The 20,669-nt window shown below is 50.2% G+C and overlaps 1 protein-coding gene and 2 long non-coding RNA genes across 5 annotated transcripts in view, besides 2 other annotated features; 2 read left to right on the forward strand and 1 right to left on the reverse strand.

The window, feature by feature from the left end:
• Positions 1–20,669, forward strand: part of LOC105371082 (uncharacterized) — a 146,190-nt gene that overhangs the window by 82,133 nt on the left and 43,388 nt on the right. The window lies entirely within an intron of this gene.
• Positions 10,076–13,479, reverse strand: LOC105371083 (uncharacterized). Its single transcript, NR_135174.1, has 2 exons — positions 13,380–13,479; positions 10,076–10,690 (listed from the first exon to the last, which is right to left on the reverse strand). It is a non-coding gene; the product is annotated as an uncharacterized LOC105371083 (long non-coding RNA).
• RMI2 (RecQ mediated genome instability 2) lies at positions 13,726–20,027 on the forward strand. Of its 2 annotated transcripts, none has more exons than NR_130754.2 (2): positions 13,726–13,810; positions 18,909–20,027. NR_130754.2 is itself a non-coding variant. In NM_152308.3 (2 exons), exons 1-2 carry the CDS (start codon positions 13,739–13,741, stop codon positions 19,055–19,057), a joined length of 444 nt encoding a protein of 147 aa, NP_689521.1. In that variant the 5' UTR covers positions 13,726–13,738; the 3' UTR covers positions 19,058–20,027. The 2 variants fall into 2 exon arrangements, 1 of the variants encoding a protein (NP_689521.1); NM_152308.3 differs by having other exon boundaries at positions 13,726–14,033.
• Positions 13,795–13,954: a silencer, noted in NCBI's record as "silent region_7202". NCBI's record gives its function as "represses an Ori minimal core promoter by ATAC-STARR-seq in GM12878 lymphoblastoid cells {active_cell/tissue: GM12878}" and the evidence as "EXISTENCE:reporter gene assay evidence [ECO:0000049][PMID:35858748]".
• Positions 13,975–14,054: a silencer, noted in NCBI's record as "silent region_7203". NCBI's record gives its function as "represses an Ori minimal core promoter by ATAC-STARR-seq in GM12878 lymphoblastoid cells {active_cell/tissue: GM12878}" and the evidence as "EXISTENCE:reporter gene assay evidence [ECO:0000049][PMID:35858748]".

The raw sequence follows: 20,669 nt of genomic DNA on the forward strand, positions 1-20,669 counted from the left end.
CTGCAGCATGGGGGCCATTGGCCAGTGCTGTTGAAAGAGGTGGGGTATGAGGATTTCCTTGAACCCCCTTTTTAGGGCCAGAGGTTGGACTCCTGGGGAATTCATTATCAAGTCTGGCTGTAGACAGAGGTCCTCTCTGTAGAAAAAACATGAGTTAGGATGGTCCAGTCCCTTTATTCCACAGAAGGGGAAAGTGAGGCTCAGAGAGGGACAGTGTCTTGCCCAAGGCCACTCAACCAGGCAGTGGCAGAGAAACAGTTGGCTCCAGAGCTCCTGACTTGCCAGCCCCATGTACCTCCACCTTGATCCAGTAGCCAGTGTTTGTTGAATGACTGAGTGTGAATGAGTGAGAACACATTCCTAACACATTAGGAACACAGGCTCTGGAGCCAGCCTGCCAGGGTTTCATATCAGGTTCTTCCCTGCACAAGCTGTGTGATTTTGAGCACATTCTTTGACTTCTCTGAACCTCAGTTTCTTCATCTGTAAAATGGGTACAATCATTGTATCTGCTGTACAGAGTGATCAGGAGGCTTAAATGAGGTTACGTGTCCAGGCATGGTGGTTCACACCTATAATCCCAGCTCTTTGGGAGGCCGAGAGTTCCAGATCAGCCTGGCCAACATGGTGAAACCCTGTCTCTACTAAAAATACAAAAAAATTAGCTGGGCGTGGTGGCAGATGCCTGTAATCCCAGCTACTTGGGAGGCTGAGGCAGGAGAATTGCTTGAACCCGGAACAAGGAGGTTGCAGTGAGCCAAGATTGCGCCATTGCACTCCAGCCTGGGCGACAAGAGCGATACTCTGTCCGCCCCCCCCCAAAAAAAAAGATAATTTATGCAAAGACTTAAAACAGTGTCAGGCACACAGTAAGTGCTGAATTAAAGCTAACTTTCGCCAGGCGCAGTGGCTCAAACCTGTAATCTCAGCACTTTGGGAGAGTAGGGAAGGAGGATCGCTTGAGCCCCAGAGTTTGAGACGAGTCTGGGCAGCTAGTGATGACCCCATGTTTACAAATAATTTAAAAATTAGCCAGGTGTGGTGGCATGCAGCTGTGGTCCCTGCTACTCAGTAGGCTGAGGCAGGAGGACTACCTGGGCCCAGGAAGTCGAGGCTGCAGTGAGCTATGATCATGCCACTGCACTCCAGCTTGGGCCACAGAGCAAGACTCTATCTTAAGATAATTTTTAATGAAATTAATGACAAGGACATGGTGGGGGGCTGCAAACAGATGTTTCCACAGGGAGTGCACAGTCCTGCCAGTGACGGAGCAGGTCTCCTTCTTGGTTTATTGAAAAGTCGAGGAAAATGTGGATAATTCATGTCCAGGGACCTGTAGCCAACAGAAAAAAGCCCCTGCCTTCCCCGACTCAGAGCTGCTGTAATACAGAAGCCACAAGCCACATGGGGTGACTGAGCACTTGAATGGTGGCTTAATATGAGTTGAGACGAGCTGTCAGTATCAGTTATACAATGGATATCAAAGATGCGGTATGAGCAAAGGTCCTGAGGCAGCTTACCTGGCATGTCTACGAACAGCAAAGCAGTGAGTAGGAGATGAAAGCAGTGATGTGATCTTGTGGTGTCTGTTTCTGTGTCTGTCGCCCCACTTGACTATTGCTTCCTTTGGCAGGGGCTGCATCTGCCGTGTACGTTTCCATAGCCACGGGCTGGCATGGCATCTGGCATATAGTAGGTGCTTACCACATGTTTGTTGAATGAATGAATGGATGTTGGTGGTAACTACATGCAGCTGAGTTAAACTGAGCCCAAGGAGAGAGAGGACCAAATGCCTGCTGTAGTGGACACTGGTGTGTGCCCGGGTCCCCCTTCTACACAGAGGCAGTCACTCCCCAGCTGCTGGGAGAGCTGGTGGCTGATGGTTTGTGCCCAGCTGAGTCCCTCTCTGGGCATGGCCCCCTAGACCCCCTACCCCACGGGTCAGCACACCTCCAAAGACTGGTGAATATGGAGTACAAAAGCCCGGCCCCCTTTTCCCCAGGCAGGACAGCTCTGCTGTGCTACTTGAGCTCCAGAACTTTCCCCAGGGATGACTGAGGCCTTTGTTGCGACTGCATCTGCATCGCAGCTCAACTCCTCTGCCTGGTCCTGCTGACCTCACTCCCACGCAGGTGCTGCCTCCAAGAGCACTCCCCAATAAACCTGCTCACTCGTCCGTGGGCTTCCCTGGGAACCTGACTTGTTACTCTTCTCAAGCCATAACCCTGTCATTCGTCCATTCATTCAGTAAATATGTACTGAACAGCTATGCCCCAGGCATTGTTTTGGGATCCAGCAGCAACCCCAGACAGACCAGGACTGTTTGTGTAGGGATACTGGCCATCGAGTTTTTAGATTTCACCAAGACTGAATCTCATCATCTCCAGCCCCACCATGGCCATGACACTCCTGGGAGGCCTGGCTGCTTCAGCTCCCTAGAGTGGCCCTTAGAAGGTGTGGACAGGTGTGGGGACAGGAAGGGAGCAGACCCAGGAGCCCAGGTCTGTGGAGTCAGGCAGACCCAGGTTCGAATTCAGCTTAGTGCTTTTTTGCATTTCCCTAGTGACTAATGATATTGAGCATCTTTTCATGTGTTCACTGGCTTTTGTATATGGTGTTAGTCCACTTTTGTTGCTATAAAGGAATACCTGAGGCTAAGTAACTCATAAAGAAAAGAGGTTCGGGCGCAGTGGCTCACACGTATAACCCCAGCACTTTGGGAGGCCAAGGTGGGTAGATCACTTGAGGTCAGGAGTTCAAGACCAACCTGGCCAACATGGTAAAACCTCGTCTCTACTAAAAATACAAAAATTAGCTGGGTATGGTGGTGCGTGCCTGTAGTCCCAGCAACTCCGGAGGCTGAGGCAGTCAAGACAGTGCACTACAGCCTGGGTGACAGAGCGAGACTCCCTCTCAGAAAGAAAGAAAAGAAAAGAGGGCTGGGCGCGGTGGCTCATGCCTGTAATCCCAGCACTTCGGGAGGCTAAGGTGGGAAGATTACTTGAGCTTAGGAATTCGAGACCAGCCTGGGCAACACAGCGAGACCTTGTCTCTATTATAAATAAAAACAAAAAGTTAGCTACCAAAAATGAGGTGGCGTGCACCTGTAGTCCCAGCTACTTGGGCAGCTAAGGTGGGAGGATCACTTGAGTCTGGGAGACTGAGGCTGCAGTGAGCTATGATCACACCATTGCACTCTAGCATGGGTGACAGAGTGAGACCCTGTCTCGAAAAATAAAAAAAAAAAGAAAAGAGGTTTATTTGGCTCACAGTTCTGCAGGCTGTACAAGCATGGCACCAGTATCTGTTCGGATTCTGGTGAGGCCTCAGGAAGCTTTTACTCTTGGTAGAAGGCAGAGCGGGAGCAGGCATGTCATGTGGTGAGAGAGAAGGGAGGAGGTGCTGGGTTCTTTTAAACAACTAGACCTCAGATGAACTCATAGAGTGAGACCTCATTGCTGCAAGGACAGCACCAAGCTGTTCATGAGAGATCCGCCCCCATAACCCAGACACCTCCCACTAGGCCCAACCTCCAACACTGGAATGATGTCACATTTCAACATGAGATTTGGAGGAAAAAAAACATCCGAACCATACCATATACCTTCTTTGGAGAAATGTCTGTTTAGGTCCTTTGCTTATTTTTATTTTTATTTTTTTATTTTTTATTTTTTATTTTTTTATTTTTTTTCCAAGGCAGAAGAATTTTTCTTAGTACAGAACAAAATGAAAAGTCTCCCATGTCTACCTCTTTCTACACAGACACGGCAACCATCCGATTTCTCAATCTTTTCCCCACCTTTCCCCCCTTTCTATTCCACAAAACTGCCATTGTCATCATGGCCCGTTCTCAATGAGCTGTTGGGTACACCTCCCAGACGGGGTGGTGGCCGGGCAGAGGGGCTCCTCACTTCCCAGTAGGGGCGGCCGGGCAGAGGCGCCCCTCACCTCCCGGACGGGGCAGCTGGCCGGGCGGGGGGCTGACCCCCCACCTCCCTCCCGGACGGGGCGGCTGGCCGGGCGGGGGGGCTGACCCCCCACACCTCCCTCCCGGACGGGGCGGCTGGCCGGGCGGGGGGCTGACCCCCCCACCTCCCTCCCGGACGGGGCGGCTGGCCGGGCGGGGGGCTGACCCCCCCACCTCCCTCCCGGACGGGGCGGCTGGCCGGGCGGGGGGCTGACCCCCCCACCTCCCTCCCGGACGGGGCGGCTGGCCGGGCGGGGGGCTGACCCCCCCACCTCCCTCCCGGTCGGGGCGGCCGGCCAGGCAGAGGGGCTCCTCACTTCCCAGTAGGGGCGGCCGGGCAGAGACACTCCTCACATCCCGGATGGGGCGACAGGGCAGAGGTGCTCCCTGCATCTCAGACGATGGGCGGCCGGGCAGAGACGCTCCTCACTTCCTAGATGGGATGGCGGCCGGGAAGAGGGGCTCCTCTCTTCCTAGATAGGATGGCGGCTGGGCAGAGACGCTCCTCACTTTCCAGACTGGGCAGCCAGGCAGAGGGGCTCCTCACATCCCAGACGATGGGCGGCCAGGCAGAGACGCTCCTCACTTCCCAGACGGGGTGGCGGCCGGGCAGAGGCTGCAATCTCGGCACTTTGGGAGGCCAAGGCAGGCTGCTGGGAGGTGGATGTTGTAGCGAGCCGAGATCACGCCACTGCACTCCAGCCTGGGCACCATTGAGCACTGAGTGGAGGAGACTCCGTCTGCAATCCCGGCACCTCGGGAGGCCGAGGCTGGCGGATCACTCGCGGTTAGGAGCTGGAGACCAGCCCGGCCAACACGGCGAAAACCCGTCTCCACCCAAAAAATACGAAAACCAGTCAGGCGTGGCGGCGTGAGGCTGCAATCGCAGGCACTCAGCAGGCTGAGGCAGGAGAATCAGGCAGGGAGGTTGCAGTGAGCAGAGATGGCAGCAGTACAGTCCAGCTTCGGCTCGGCATCAGAGGGAGACCGTGGAAAGAGGGAAGAGGGGAGGGGCAGAGGGAGAGGGAGAGGGAGAGGGCTGCTCATTTTTAAATTGGGTTTTTTTGTTGTTGTTGAGTTGCAAGTGTTCTTTATATATTCTAGATACTAGACCCTCATCAGATATATGACTAGCAAATATTTTTTCCCATTCTGTGAATTGTCTTCACTTTTTGGATAATGTCCTTTGATGCACAAAAGTTTTTACTTTTTATAAAGTCCAATTTATTTTTTTCTTTTATTGCTTGTGCTTTTGCTGTCATCTCTAAAGATCCATCACCAAACCCAAGGTTGTGAACATTTACCCTTCTGTTTTCTTTTACGAGTTTTACAGTTTTAGCTCTTATATTTCGGCCTTTGGTCCATTCTATACATAGACAGAGAGGTTGAACTTTCTTCTTTTTCTTATTGTTCTAGCATTATTTATTAAATGATTATTTTCCCATGGAATGACCTTGTTGGCCCTTGTTGAAAAGCCACTGGGGGCCGGGTGCAATGGCTCATGCCTGTAATCCCAGCACTTTGGGAGGCCAAGGTGGGCAGATCACCTGAGGTCCAAAGTTCGAGACCAGCCTAGCCAACACAGTGAAACCCCAACTCTACTAAAAGTACAAAGATGGCTGGGCGTGGTGGCTCACGCCTGTACTCCCAGCACTTTGGGAGGCCGAGGTGGGCGGATCACCTGAGGTCGGGAGTTCGAGACCAGCCTGACCAACATGGAGAAACCCCGTCTCTACCAAAAATACAAAATTAGCCAGGCGTGGTGGCACATGCCTGTAATCCCAGCTACTAGGGAGGCTGAGGCAGGAGAATCGCTTGAACCTGGGAGGCGGAGTTTGCAGTGAGCCGAGATCGCGCCATTGCACTCCAGCCTGGGCAACAAGAGTGAAACTCCATCTCAAAAAAACAAAACAAAACAAAACAAAAAACCAAAGATTAGCTGGGCGTGGTGGTGCGTGCCTGTAGTCCCAGCTAATCAGGAAGCTGAGGCGGGAAAATCACTTGAACCTGGGAGGCGGAGGTTGCAGTGAGCCGAGGTCACGCCACTGCACTCCAGCCTGGGTGACAGAACAAGACTTTGTCTTGGAAAAAAAGAAAAGGAATAGATGTATGGGTTTATTTTTGGACACTCATTCTGTCCTCTGGATCTATATATGTCTGTTCTCATGTCAGTACCACACAGATTTCATTATTGTAGGCTTAGTGCCTTTTTGAGCCTCAGTTTTTTTTCTCCCATAACGGGAGGGAGGGCAGAAGTAGGTCTCTGGTAGGGGTTTGTGGATGAAATGAGCTGGAATACATCATAGCAGCTAGCAGCATGCTTGGCCTGTAGTTGTAGTGGAAGCATTACTGTTATTATCATATCCAAGATGTAGATTGTGCTTAAAGACTCCTCAAGAGAGCTGGAAATGTGTATCAGTCAGTTTAGGCTTTAAAACAAAATACCATAGACTAGGAAACCTACAACAGAAATGTATTGCTCATAATTTCTTTTTCAGATGGGGTCTTGCTCTGTTGCCTAGGCTGGAGTGCAGTGGTGCAGTCACGGCTCACTGCAGCCTCCACCTCCTGGGCTCATGTGATGCTCCCACCTCAGCCTCCCAAAGTGCTGGGATTACAGGTGTGAGCCACTGTGCCCAGGCTGCTCATAGTTCTGGAGGTGGGAAGTCCAAGATCAAGGCACTGGGAGATTCAGTGTCTGGTGAGGACTCATATTCTAGCTTACTGTGTCTTCACAAGGTGGAAGGGGCAAAAGAGCTCTCTGGGGACCCTTCTTAAAAGGACACTAATCCCATTCATGAGGGCTCCATCCTTATTCATGAGACCTAACCACCTCCCAAAAGACCTACCTCCTAACACTTTCACGTTGGGAATTAAGTTTCTTTTTCTTTCCTTTTTTAAATTTTCTTTTTACATTTTTTCCCTTTTTTTTTTGAGACAGAGTCTTCCTCTCGTCGCCCAGGCTGGAGTGCAGTGGCACATTCTTGGCTTGCTGCAGTCTCCGCCTCCCAAATTCAAGTGATTCCCCTGCCCCAGCCTCCTGAGTAGCTGGGATTACAGGCACCCACAACCACGCCCAGCTAATTTTTGTATTTTTAGTAGAGATGGGGTTTCACCACGTTGGCCAGGCTGGTCTCAAACTCCTGAGGTCAAGCAACCTGCCCACCTCGGCCTCCCAAAGTGCTGGGATTACAGGCGTAAACCACCACATCCAGAGTATTCTAGTTTTTTGAGACTATACAATAAATTATAGTTAACCACATACAGTGGAACATATGAATTTGGGAGGAGAGGGCACAAACATTCTGTTCACGCCATGGCAGTGTGCCGTGGACAGCAGAAATCACTACTGGTGCAGAGGGCTAGAGAGTGTCAGTCATCAGGCACTGAGGTGTGACTTTACCCTATTCTACCCATGCTCCCTTGAGCCCAGCCCTGGGCCTGCGTGAAGTGGAGAAAAAGGGGCACCAGAGGCCAAGATGCATCGACTTTCACATGACCTGGTGATACTCTGTGAGTGAGAGAGCAGAAGTTTGCTTGTCACTGAGTAGGGGAGGGCTGGGCCCCAGAATCATTCTAGGGTCCCACCCCCAGACATTCCAATGCAGGAAGGCTGTGCTGCAGCCCTGGAACCTACAGTTGTCCCCAGATGTTGTGTTCTTGAAAGAACTGTGCAGTGAACATCAATCACCCACCATGCGGATTCCACAATGAACAGTTGACTCTAGTTGCCTTATCTCAGCTCTAGCCACCTGTCCTTCCCTCTATCCACCCATCCATCCACCTTATTTCTTATCTTTTTTTTTTTTTTTGAGATGGAGTCTCACTCTGTCGCCCAGGCTGGAGTGCAGTGGCGCCGTCTCAGCTCACTGCAAGCTCCGCCTTCCGGGTTCACGCCATTCTCCTGCCTCAGCCTCCAGAGTAGCTGGGACTACAGGTGCTCGTCACCACGCCTGGCTAATTTTTTGTATTTTTTAGTAGAGACAGGGTTTCACCGTGTTAGCCAGGATGGTCTCAATCTCCTGACCTTGTGATCCACCTGCCTTGGCCTCCCAAAGTGCTGGGATTACAGGCGTGAGCCACCACGCCCAGCCATCCACCTTATTTCTTGTTGCATTTCAAAGTAAGTTGCATCCAAAGTAAGTAAGAGACATCCATCCACTGCCCCTTTGCATACTTTGGCAGGCATTTCATTAAATACAGTTCAAAATTTGTGTGCGTGTATGTGTGTGTTTTCATAAAACCTGTATTTCCAAAAAAAAAATTCCCCAGAGTATTCTTCCACGGTGCCAATCCAGGATAGTGGGTAAGACGTTATGTTAAGAACCACCATCCTGATTACTGAGACACCTAAGAGGAACCCTTTATAAGGGTTCCCAGGGTGGGGATGGGTTCCTGGCTCTACCTTCTCCTAGCTGTGTGGTCTGGGGTAGGTCACATCACCTGTCCAAGCCTCAATGTCCTCATCTCTAAATTGGGCTTAAGAAAAGTATCTACTTCTTAGGGTTGTCATGAGGAATAACTGAGTCTCTGCACATGAAGTGACTGGCATGGTGCTTGGCACATAGTAAGGGCTCAGCTAATAACAGCTTTTGCTATTTTGAAGATGTCACTGTATGGATACCCTTCCAGAACAACCCATTTTATTTTATTTTATTTTATTTTTTCCTTCAAGACCGAGTTTCATTCTTGTCGCCCAGGCTGGAGTGCAGTGGCATGATCTCAGCTCACTGCAACCTCTGCCTCTTGGGTTCAAGTGATTCTCCTGCCTCAGCCTCCCAAGTAGCTGGAATTACAGGCACGTGCCATCATGCCCAGCTAATCTTTATATTTTTACCGGAGACAGGGTTTCACCATGTTGGCCAGCCTGGTCTCGAACTTCTGGCCTCAGATGATCCACCCACCTTGGCCTCCTAAAGTGCTGGGATTACAGGCGTGAGCCACCACGCCCCACCCAGAACAACCCCTTTTCTTAGTGTAGTAGGGTTGTTTCTGGAAACCAGAAGCATTTTTGGCCTGATTGGCCTGGGAACTGGTGAACGAGCAGATTGAGGATAAAGCCAAGGCCTACAATTCCTCTCACCTTACCTTTGTCCTCACTGGTGCAGGTGGCAGGAAACCGCCTTCCAAGGATCTTTGATCTCACTGGGAAGCTGGAGCTCGGGGAGGCTGGCACAGGGGGTTGCTTCAGGCCTGAGTGTGAGGGTGATGGATTGTGGTGTGGGGGAGGGGGGATAATCCTCCCTAGAGGGGAGGCTTACCCAACATGTGTCAACAGACCCCACTTGTCTGCTCATGACTGTAATTTAAAATGCTGATTTTGCAACTCTTGGAGCTGGTGGAACACTACAGCCCCTTGGCTATTTTGCAGGAGATTTAAGGACCTGCACGTTAGTGAACATGCAGGCTGCCTTGGTGCCTGAAGCAGAGGTCACGTTCTAGAGAGAGTTTGCAGATTGGAAGCCCACGGGCCAGAGTCAGTCCATGGATGACTTTCTGGGGCACATGGTTTGTTTTTGTTCCTTTGTTTCAGAATTGAATTGTTTGCCAGCATTTTTTTTTTAAACATGGAAATTATACATGAAAATGTCTTGAGCTGGGCGCGGTGGCTCACGCCCGTAATCCCAGCACTTTGGGAGGCCAAGGCAGGTGGATCATCTGAGGTAGGGAGTTCGAGACTAGCCTGGCCAACATGGTGAAACCCCATCTCTACTAAAAATACACAAAATTGGCCGGGCGTGGTGGCGGGCACCTGTAATCCCAGCTACTTGTAAGGCTGAGGCAGGAGAATCACTTAAACCTGGGAGGTGGAAGTTGTGGTGAGTTGAGATCGTGCCATTGCACTACAGCCTGGGCAACAGAGTTAGACTCCATCTAAAACAAAACAAAAACAAACGAAAAAAAGAAAATGTCTTGAAAAATCAGATCTAGCAACAATGGGCCCACAGTCCTGCACGACAACCACCGGCTGAGTGTGATGGACCCCTGTTGCCGGGACATCAGAAGGCCAGTTTGCCCCTGCTACACCAGGGTTACCTGTCTGTCTGCTGCTGACAACTTAGTTTGAGAACCCAGGCTTTACTGGTAAGATAGACACAGACACAACTATTTATGGCTCAAAACAGAGGGCAGTGAGTATTGTAGCTTAGGACAGTGGTTCTCCATAGAGGTGATTTAGTACCCTAGGGGACAGTGGCAATGTCTGAAGACATATTTTGGTTGTTGCAACTTGAGGAGGGTGCCATGGCATCTCGTGGGTGGAAAGCAGGGGTACTGCTCCATATCCTGCAGTGCACACGACAGCCCCCACGACAAAGATTATCCAGCCCCAGTGTCAGTAGGGCTGAGGTTGGGAAACTGTGGATTAGGGGCACCACCAAACTGGTCTGGAAGGAAGAGGTTAATTCCAGTGGTGGGGCTCAACAAAGGCTCTGTGAAGAGAAGAGGTCTTGCTGCTGAGCAGGCACTTGATGACTAAGCCAGGTTTCAACTGAGAGCGACTGAGGGGGAGGCATGTCAGGCAGAGAACAAACAACACAAGCAAAGGTCTAGAGGCACCTTTGATGGGTGGAGGTGGGTGAGAGTGTGAACAGTGAGATGGAGCCTGTAGTTCAAGATACATGAAGTTTGGGGTCAGGTGGATTTGGGTTTGAGTTCTGACTCTGCCACTCACTAGCCATGTGGCTTCAGGCTTGTCATTGGCTTGAACCTCAGTTTCATCATCTGTAAAATGGGGATAAGACATGAGGTTATGTAGAGCCAGACTCATCTATCCCCAGTCCTCCATTTCTACTCTGTGTCCCAGCCATCCTTAACTACTGGCAGTTTGCTACATGCTTCTTGCTTTGTCTCCCCTGTCTGGCCCCTCCATGTGCAGTTCCCTCTGCCTGGAATGCTCACATGCCAGATGTGTGGATTACACCATCAAGGTGTTATAAACCCGGTGCTGACATGCTAAGACTTGTGTTTTGAAAAGATCACTCTGCCAGCAACATGGTGTTGGGCTTGTGGGAGCAGGTGCAGGGAATCTGGAGGCCAAGGGAATGATGGGGGATTCCCAGGCTCATACAAGAAGCCTGGGGGCTTCTCCCTTCACGCTAACTCCCTTCTCCGTCACTTCTCTGTCCTTAAGGTACCTCGGGGGAAGGTCAGTGAGGACCCACCAGGCATGAACGGGTTGGATTCTCTCTTGGTTAATGTTCCTGCTCCTTTCTCAGCCTAGGAGCCTGGTTACTTCATAGGTCAGGGTTGAGGTGTTGTATTAGTCTGTTCTCACACTGCTATAAAGAACTGTCCAAGACTGGGTAATTTATAAAGGAAAGAGGTTTAATTAACTCCAGTTCCGCAGGGCTGGGAGGCCTCAGGAAACTTACAATCATGGCAGAAAGGGAAGCAAACGTCCTTCTTTATGTGGCAGCAGGAAGAAGTAGTGCCGAGCAAAGGGGGAAAAGCACCTTATAAAACCATCAGATCTTGTGAGAACTCACTCACTATCACGAGAACAGCATGGGAGTATCCGCCCCCATGATTCAATTACCTACCACGGGGTCCTTCCCACGATATGTGGGGATTATGGGAAGTACAATTCAACATGAGATTTGGGTGGGGACACAGCCAAACCATATTAGGTGTAGAGGCCAAAACCTCATAGAGGCTACTGAGAGTCTATGGGCCAGCCCTCTAGCTTCCTTAAGCCTCAGTTTCCTCACCTGTGTGGAACAGTCTTTTCAGGGTCTGTGGGGGTACATGGGATACTTCCTACAAAGTTCTTACAATAGGACCTGGCTCAATTTTATAAAAATGAAGCTCTTGGCCGGGTGCGGTGGCTGACGCCTGTAATCCCAGCACTTTGGGAGGCTGAGCGGGCAGATCACGAGGTCAGGAGTTTGAGACTAGCCTGGCCAGTATGACGAAACCCCGTCTCTACTAAAAAATACAAAAATTAGCCAGGCGGGTGGCGTGTACCTGTAGTCCCAGCTACTCAGGAGGCTGAGGCAGGAGAATCACTTGAACCTGGGAGGCGGAGGTTGCAGTGAGCTGAGATGGCACAACTGCACTCCTGCCTGGGTGACACAGCGAGACTCCGTCTCAAAAAAAAAAAAAAAAAAAAATCAAGCTCTTGCTGAATACTCTCTGAATGCCTGGTACTGCAGGAGGCCCTGGGAACTCAAAGTTTCTCTTAAGAACTGACCTTGACTTTAAGGATTGCCTGATTTAGGATCTGTGGACTTTGCTGACTGGGGACATCCAATTTTTAGGGAGAGATTCCTGGGAATTTTATTTGAAGGATGCACAAAAAGATTTAGCTTTTACGGGTGGATCACGAGGTCAGGAGATCGAGACCATCCTGGCTAACACGGTGAAACCTCGTCTCTACTAAAACAAAGTACAAAAAATTAGCTGGGCGTGGTGGCAGGCACCTGTAGTCTCAGCTACTCGGGAGGCTGAGGCAGGAGAATGGCGGGAACCTGGGAGGCGGAGCTTGTAGTGAGCCCAGATGGCGCCACTGCACTCCAGCCTGGGTGACAGAGTGAGACTCCGTCTCAAAAAAATAAATAAATAAATAAATAAAAAAGATTTATCTTTTAAGTAGGTCCACAGTGGATATATTTATAAAGTGAAAAATTGGAAATAGCCTTAATGTCCAACTGTAGGATATTGGTTTAATATGTGATAAGACAAATCGAGTATTATGCAGTCATTCAAGAGGAAGCAGATGGATATTTGCTGATACAGAAAGATGTTCATTATTAAGTGAAAACAATATACAAAACACTATTTGTATATCAGTAATAGGCCAGGCATGGTGGCTCACGCCTGTAATCCCAGCACTTTGGGAGGCCAAGGAGGCAGGATTGCGTGATCCCAGGAGTTCCAGACCACCTTGGGCAACATGGTAAGACCCTGTCTCTACAAAAAATACAAAAATTAGCTGGACGTGGTGGTGCACGCCTGTAGTCCGAGATACTTGGGAGGCTGAGGTAGGAGAATCACCTATGCCCGGGAGGTGAACGTTGTAGTGAGCCGTCACTGTGCCACTGCACTCCATCCTGGGCAACAGAGTGAGACCCTGTCTCAAAAAAAATACACACACATATTTTAAAGCCTAAAGGCTAATATACCCCAAAATTAACAGTGGGTATCTATAAGCGGCTTTTACAATTATTTTCTTGTTCTACATTTTTCCCCTATTTTTTTTACAATAAATGTGCATTTCTTGTCTGAAAAATAGCAATATATTTTATTAACCTTAAAATTATTTGATGCTATTAAAATATAACTGAAAATAATAATAAAAGAAAAGGCAAGTTTGCCAGCTCTCCCCGTCTCCCTCCCCAGCCTTATCTCCTGACTGGATTCTTGCTCACTCCCAATAAACACGGACTCTTAATTCGTTTCAGTATTTACTAACCTCAAAACAAGGCAATGTAAAGATGAATAATCATACTCTGTAGGTGATCTGCATCCACGCCAAATTTTGAGATGCGTTGAAAGAGGAAGTTCTTTACCTCTCTGCCTTCAATTATTTATTCTCGTTTAACCCATTTCCTCCGTTCATTCCTAACTTGAGGGCGTTTATTTACTTTTATCTACGCATGCGCACTCCTGGCTGCTAGAGAGGGCCTCTTCGCCCGGCGGTCCCGCCTTCTGACGTCGACCATTGGCCGGCTCTGCCAGCGCGCTCCTGATTGGTGGCTGAGGGCCGGGCCCCGCTGCTTCTCAAAGTTGGCGGGAAAGCGGAGGCGGGGCGGAAGGGTGCGGCGAGGCGGAATGGCGGCGGCTGCGGACTCGTTCTCAGGCGGCCCCGCGGGGGTGCGGCTTCCGAGGTCGCCGCCACTCAAGGTGCTGGCGGAGCAGCTGCGGCGCGACGCGGAGGGCGGCCCGGGCGCGTGGCGGCTGTCACGGGCGGCGGCGGGCCGCGGGCCGCTGGACCTGGCGGCCGTGTGGATGCAGGGCAGGGTAGTGATGGCGGACCGCGGCGAGGCTCGGCTGAGGGACCCGAGCGGGGACTTCTCGGTCCGCGGCCTGGAGCGGGTGCCGCGCGGGCGGCCCTGTCTAGTCCCAGGTAATGCCCGGGCCTTACCGGGCGCCCTCTTCCCTGCTGCCCGCCGAGAAGTTGCCGAGGCCAGATTCGATCTTGTTGTTGACACTCGAACGGGGGCGGGGCGGGTCTGGCCCTCCTCCGGGCCTCTGCCCCTGCGGGTCCCCGCTTGGGTACCCTTGCTCCGGTCCCTCCTTGGTGAAGTTGATCTGATGATAAGCATCACCTGCCGTCCCTTTTACAAATACAGATTCCTGGGACTCTCCCACCCCTAGTGGGAATCTTCTGGGGAGGGACTCCGGCACCTTCGTTTGTCACAAGCCCCCTCTCCCAGTTGATATCCTTGTTTTGGGAAATACTGTCCTGGGAAACTTCTGCTCATCCTTAACGTCTCAGCTCAAATGTGCCTTTCTCAGGGAAGTCCTCCCTAGCCCCTAGGAACGGGAGACCCTCCTGTACTTCTCCTTAATTGAACTGTCTTGGGCTGTAGCTCACTCATGTTTGCCTCCTCTCTTTTTTTTTTTTTTTTTTTTTTGAGACGGAGTCTCACTCTGTCGCCCAGGATGGGGTGCAGTGGCGCGACCTCAGCTTACTGCAGCCTCCACCTCCCGAATTCAAGCGATTCTCATGCTTCAGCCTCCCGAGTAGCTGGGATTACAGGCATGTGCCACCACACCCGGCTAATTTTTGTATTTTTTAGCAGAGACTGGGTTTTGCCATGTTGGCCAGGCTGGTCTCGAACTCCTGGCCTCAAGTGATCTGCTCATCTCGGCCTCCCAAAGTGCTGGGATTACAGACATGAGCCGCTGCGCCCTGCCTGCTTCCTCTCTTAAACCACTGATGCTCAAACTTGAGCCAGCATCAGTCTCTCCTGGAGGGCTTGGTAAAGCTGGGATGGCTGGGGCTCCACCCTCAGGGTTTGTGAGTCAGGAGGTCCAGGTGGGGCTGGAAATTTGCATTTCTAACCAGCTCCCAGGTGATGCTGATGCTGCTGGTCTGGGGACCATACTTTCGACTTTTTAAATGTTTTATTTATTTGAGATAGGGGACTCACCGTGTTGCCCAGGCTGGCCCTGAGCTCAAGCAATCCTCCTGCGTCAGCCTCCTTGGGTAGCTGGGACTACAGGCCTGTACCACCACGCCTGGTTTGGGGGCCATACTTTGAGAACCACTGGGCCAGCCCAAGCTACTGGAGGGCCAGAGCTGTGTGGTCCTGACAACTGTATCCTCAGCATCTGGCCCAGTTCCTGACACATAAGTGCTCCAAGAACCAATAGTCTTGAGTGATAGGCAATGGGCATCCATCTCACTTGTTCCCTGGGATGTCAGTTGAGCACGTGTTGTACATCAGCCCCTCATGTGCAGTGTTGGGCTGCAGCCGAGACCTAGATAGAGTCTGCTGGGAGACAGGCAGTGAGCAAGTGTCGCAGAGGATCGCTGATCTTTGGGGAGCCATGAGGATGTGCAAGGTGCTGAGTGGCCCGGGGAGGCTTCTAGAGGATGTGAGGTCTAAGCTGAGGAGCTCTGAGGCTCCATGGGCCTTCCCTCACCTCAGCTCCCTCTCCTGGGAAATCAGGCCAAGATCACTTCATTCCTAAGGGCCCTTCCTGCTCAGTCTTGGAGTCTAACTAGAGGCAGATAGGGCTGTGGTCTGGCCTGAGCTGCTGTGGACTCGGAAAGGCTTAGGTCGAATTTCTGGTTCCACCCCTTCCCAACTGAGCTGCCTGGAGCACTCTTGTTAACTTTTCTGGACTTGTACTATTTTGTAAAAAGGAGCTAATCATTCCTGCGTGTTGTGTGGATTCAATAAGTAAACAACTGCCTTAGTACTGCACCTGGCTCACAGTGAGGATGCAAAATATCAGGACTCGTTTACTGCCACATGCTCCTGTTCCGTCTTCCCACTGCCTTACCCATCAGCCTTCCCTCTGTCTGCCTGCCCTCAGCCGCAGCGTTGGTCTAGGACAGGGTCAGCAAACTACAGGCCTCCTCTTTTCATGTGTCCTGCGAACTAAAAATGCTTTTAAAATTTTTATGTATTACTATTATTATTTTTGAGACAGAATCTCGCTCTGTCTCTCAGGCTGGAGTACAGTGACGCAGTCATGGCTTGCTGCAACCTCCACCTCCTGGGTTCAAGCGATTCTCATGCCTCAGCCTCCCGAGTAGCTGGGATTACAGGTGTGCACCACCACACCCGGCTAATTTTTGTAGTTCTAGTAGAGATGGGGTTTCAACATGTTGGCTAGACTGGTTGGTCTGGAGCTCCTGGCCACCTTGGCCTCCCAAAGTGCTGGGACTGCAGGTGTGAGTCATTGCACCTGGCAGGATTTCACATTTTTAAATGGTTGAAAAGAAAATCGTGATATGTGAAAAGTATATGAAATTCAAGCATCAGTGTTCATAAGTTAAGTTTTATTGGAATACATTGGTAATTTACAGAATGTCTCGGGCCGCTGTCCCACCCCAGCTAGAATTTTATCTGGGACAGAGACCCTATGGCGGGAAAAGCCCAAAATATTTGTCTCGCCCTTTACAGAAAAAGTTTGCCAACCCTTGGCCTTAGCCTTGGCCCAGCAAGTAACCCATGCTGCTTGGTGTGTTGGTTTGCAGGCAAAGCACCTTGCAGGCAGGCTGGGGCAGTCTCCTATCTGGTCTCAGCCCTGGCATAAGCCTGGCATCTAGTAAATAAGTGTTTGAACCCATGGGCATTGGTGAACCTGTCTGACATACCCACTGGCCTGAATGCCAGCTGGCAGGGGCCATGTCATTTCTTCTTGTTAATTAATACTGAGTCCAGCTTGACAAAATTGAGTCACTGCCATCAGGGAGGCAGGGAGGTAAGCGGGCCACTAAAACACAAAGTAACATTGCAGGCAAGAGTGAGGTGGCGCAGAGGAGGGACAGCTGATCTAGGTTTGAGGGCTCAGGGAAGGCTTCCTGGAAGAGGCAGCCCTGAAGGATGCATTGGAGTTATCTGTAAGGACCAACCCTCCTGGGTTGCCTGGGACTGAGAGGGTCCTGGGACGTGGGACTTTCAGTGTTAAAACTGGGACACTTGGGCACCCTCTGTCTGTGTGCAGTGGCAGGAGATTGTGCAGCTCCATGGAGCAGCCTGTGCAAAGGCTTGAAGGGGATAGAGCCGCGTGCCTTTGGGGAGCCTGGGGCAGTGGTGGAAGGTAGGAGGGCTCTATCCTGATGAGCCTCATTGGCTGTCTGGAAGGACCTGCCTGCTTCAAGATGGCCTTGAACTCTGCTCACTGCACTGCTGCTGTAGTGCTGTTCCTCCACCGCCTCTTCCTCTGGAACATCCAGGAGTTTGTTTCCATAAACCTAAGGTGCTGAAGAGGCAGAGTTGAAGGAGAAGCTCTTCCTGCCCTCAAGCTGCTCTCTGTCTGCAGGAGAATCAGAGAAACCATGCTTACCTAGATCGCGCTTGGATCAACTGAGTTCTGGAGGCAGGAGGTGGATTTGACAATGTTGACTGCAGCAGTGGGGTGGGGATGGTTTCGAAGAGGAGGAAGCTGGCAGGAGATGGGCTGGAGCCATTGGAATGGTCATGGCAACCGCGGGGTGGGGATGCAGGAAGGAGAGGGAGAGACAGCGGAGAGCTGCTTTGGAGTGGGAGAGGGTGTGGGTAGAACCTACAAGGTCAATTTGTCCCATCGCGTGCCTTCGAGTTCATCCGGCTGGCTGTGTGTGCCTTCTCAGTAGAGCTCCTGTTCCCCTCTCCCGGTTGGAATGCCCTTGGGCTTGTTTTTCTCTTCGTGGGCCTTCAGTCATTCTACTTCTGTGTGTTCCAACCCTACCAGCACTTTAGGCCCCTTCAGAGGGGATGGCAAGTGCATTTTCAGAACTAGCCTCTGTCACGGAGGGACCCAGGTGGAATGTGGGGTTGGAGTTCTGAGATACTTGAGCACATCCTGCCTGGGGTTGAACAGCAGGATCAGGGGTCAGCTTGCCTGGGGCTTCAGTCAAAGCCCCAGGCCCCACGTGCAGTGCAATGAAAGCCTCACGGGGCAGGCAGCAGGGCTGGCACCGGGCCTGTCCTTCCTGCAGCATTTGGAGTTTTCTTTTACACAATCGGGTTTTATGTGGTTGAGACTGGCCAAGTTTTGCTTTCAAGGAGAGTCACTTCCCCAAGGGAATGGGAAGAGAGTCACAGTTAATACGTCATTAGATCATGCCGGTGGCAGCCGGCCCTTGTGTGGATTTGCTTGTATGTGCTGGAGGAGGTGGCAGGGATAGGTCCCAGCAGTTGGAACAATGGGGCGGGGGGCTGCCTGCCCAGCCTTTTCGGCAATGTGGAGGGAAAATTGGATTGCTTAGTAACTGTCAGAGGGTGTCTGCAGAAAGAGGATGTGTCCTGTGCACAGAAACCAGTCACATACTCTGTAGCATTGAGCAAGGAACAGGATTAGAGGAAAGCTGAGGTTTTCTGCCCCTACCTCAGAGCCGCCTAATTATAACTCGCTCTGATGGGAGCGTCTCCTCCATTCCTTGGGCGTGGTTACATTTTACATGACAGTTTTGTTTGGCCTAGTAAAATCAGAAACCAAAGAAGATGGCTGGGTACAGTGGCTCATGCCTATAATCCCAGCACTTTGGGATACCAAGGTGGGTGGATCACCTGAGGTCAGGAGTTCAAGACCAGCCTGGCCAACATGTGAAACCCTATCTCTACTAAACATACAAAAATTAGCCAGGCATAGTGGCAGGCACCTGTAATCCCAGCTACTCAGAAGGCTGAGGCACAAGAATCACTTAAACTCAGGAGGTGGAGGCTGCAATGAGCCGAGATTGTGCCACTGCACTCCAGCCTGGGCGACATAGCAAGACTCTGTCTCAAAAGAAGAAAAAAAAAAAGAACATTACTATGGGCTTTTCTTCTTTTTCTAGGAAAGTATGTGATGGTGATGGGAGTGGTTCAGGCCTGCAGCCCTGAGCCCTGCCTGCAGGCTGTGAAGATGACAGACCTTTCTGATAATCCCATCCATGAAAGTATGTGGGAACTGGAGGTAGAAGATTTACACAGGAATATTCCTTAGAGTATGTTGGAACTGTCGTTAAAAACAACCAAAATCCCGAAACTATTTAGAAGCTTATAATGATGTGGATTTCATGGACACTTTTCAATGCGTATTTTTCAAATGCTTCTCAGAGAGCCTTGCTTTGGTTGACCAAGGAGTCCGGATGTAGGAATGTTTAAATCCTCGGATACTTCAGTGACACAGCCTCTGCTGCCCCTTGCTTTGCCTGTGTTTGCTGATGAAAAGCAGATGCTTGTGTTTCATTTTCCTTCCTGGTTTGTGTGTGTTAATTCTCTCTCTCTCTCTCAGACACAGAAGTCTCATGTTGCATTTTCCAAATTTTATGAGTGATGATACTTTTTCCATTACTGCTGCGTCCCTGTTTTACAATGCAAAATTTAAGTACGGTCGTTGCCCATGGTGATTAAAGTGTGGTTATGGGCAGGAAGACAGACTGTGTAAAAAAGGAATGACATCCTGGCTCCTCATCTTCTTCATCAGCAACTACCATAACCAGTTTGCGAGTCAAATGGCATTTCCTAACGGCAGGCATGGCGGCCCCTGAAAGACAACAGCTCCCTTTCTGCTTCGGACACCACTCAAACATTTAGACGCAGCTCTATCCCTTTTCCTAGCTAGAGAAGGTGATGCCTTCTTCCATTACTCAGAGATGTTGAGACGTTTTCAGAATTTCTTGTTGAAATGAAAAACATCAAGATAAAGGACGCCTTTCAGGCATTAGCTAAACTTCCACTTCATAACTTTCGGCGAGACATGGTGAGCCTCCTGGTGTAGAGTTCTTTTGTCTTTGTATGGAATGACTTTTTGCTGTGATGGTTTTGAATGTTGGGTTTCTGCTGTCTGCTTAGTACCCATGCCTGAATTTTTTGAGATTGTAAATATCAAAGGAGTTAGATTGTGTTCTGACATGGTTGTAGACTTTCACCTGGATTATTGATATTCTACCTCTAATAAATTTTTAATAGGCTGTATGAGTTTTTTTTTTTAATGGACTTAAGAAAACAGTTTTAGGTGTTCAGGAAAATAGAGGAGAAACTACAGCGTTCGCATATACTCCACACACCCCACTCCCAGTTTTTCCAGCTATGAACATCTTTTATTAGGATGGTACATTTGATAAACCAACATTACATTCTTATTAACTAAAGTTTAGTTTACATTAGGCTTTATTCCTTCTCTTATACATTCTGTGGATTTTGCCAAATGCATAATAACATGTATCCACCACTACAGTATCGTCCAGAATAGCTTCACTGCCCTAAAAATCCTCTGGGTTCCCCTTATTCACCCCTCCCCACCAACCCTGACAGTCACTGATCTTTCTTTTCAGTTTTGCCTTTTCCAGAATATCATATAGTTGGATCATACAGTAAGTAATTTTTTCAGACTGGCTTCTTTCATTTACTATGCATATAAGATTCCTCCATATCTTTTTTTTTTTTTCTTTTTTAAGACAATCTCAGTCTTGCCCAGGCTGGAGTGCAAGGGCACAATCACAGCTCACCACAGCCTCAACCTCTCAGGCTCAGGATCCTCCCATCTCAGCCTCTCAGGTAGCAGGACTACAGGTGCGCATCACCTTGCCTGGTTAATTTTTTTGTATTTTTTG

The sequence above is a fragment of the Homo sapiens genome, chromosome 16 (genome assembly GCF_000001405.40).
Source record: "Homo sapiens chromosome 16, GRCh38.p14 Primary Assembly".
Classification (NCBI taxonomy): Eukaryota; Metazoa; Chordata; class Mammalia; order Primates; family Hominidae; genus Homo; species Homo sapiens.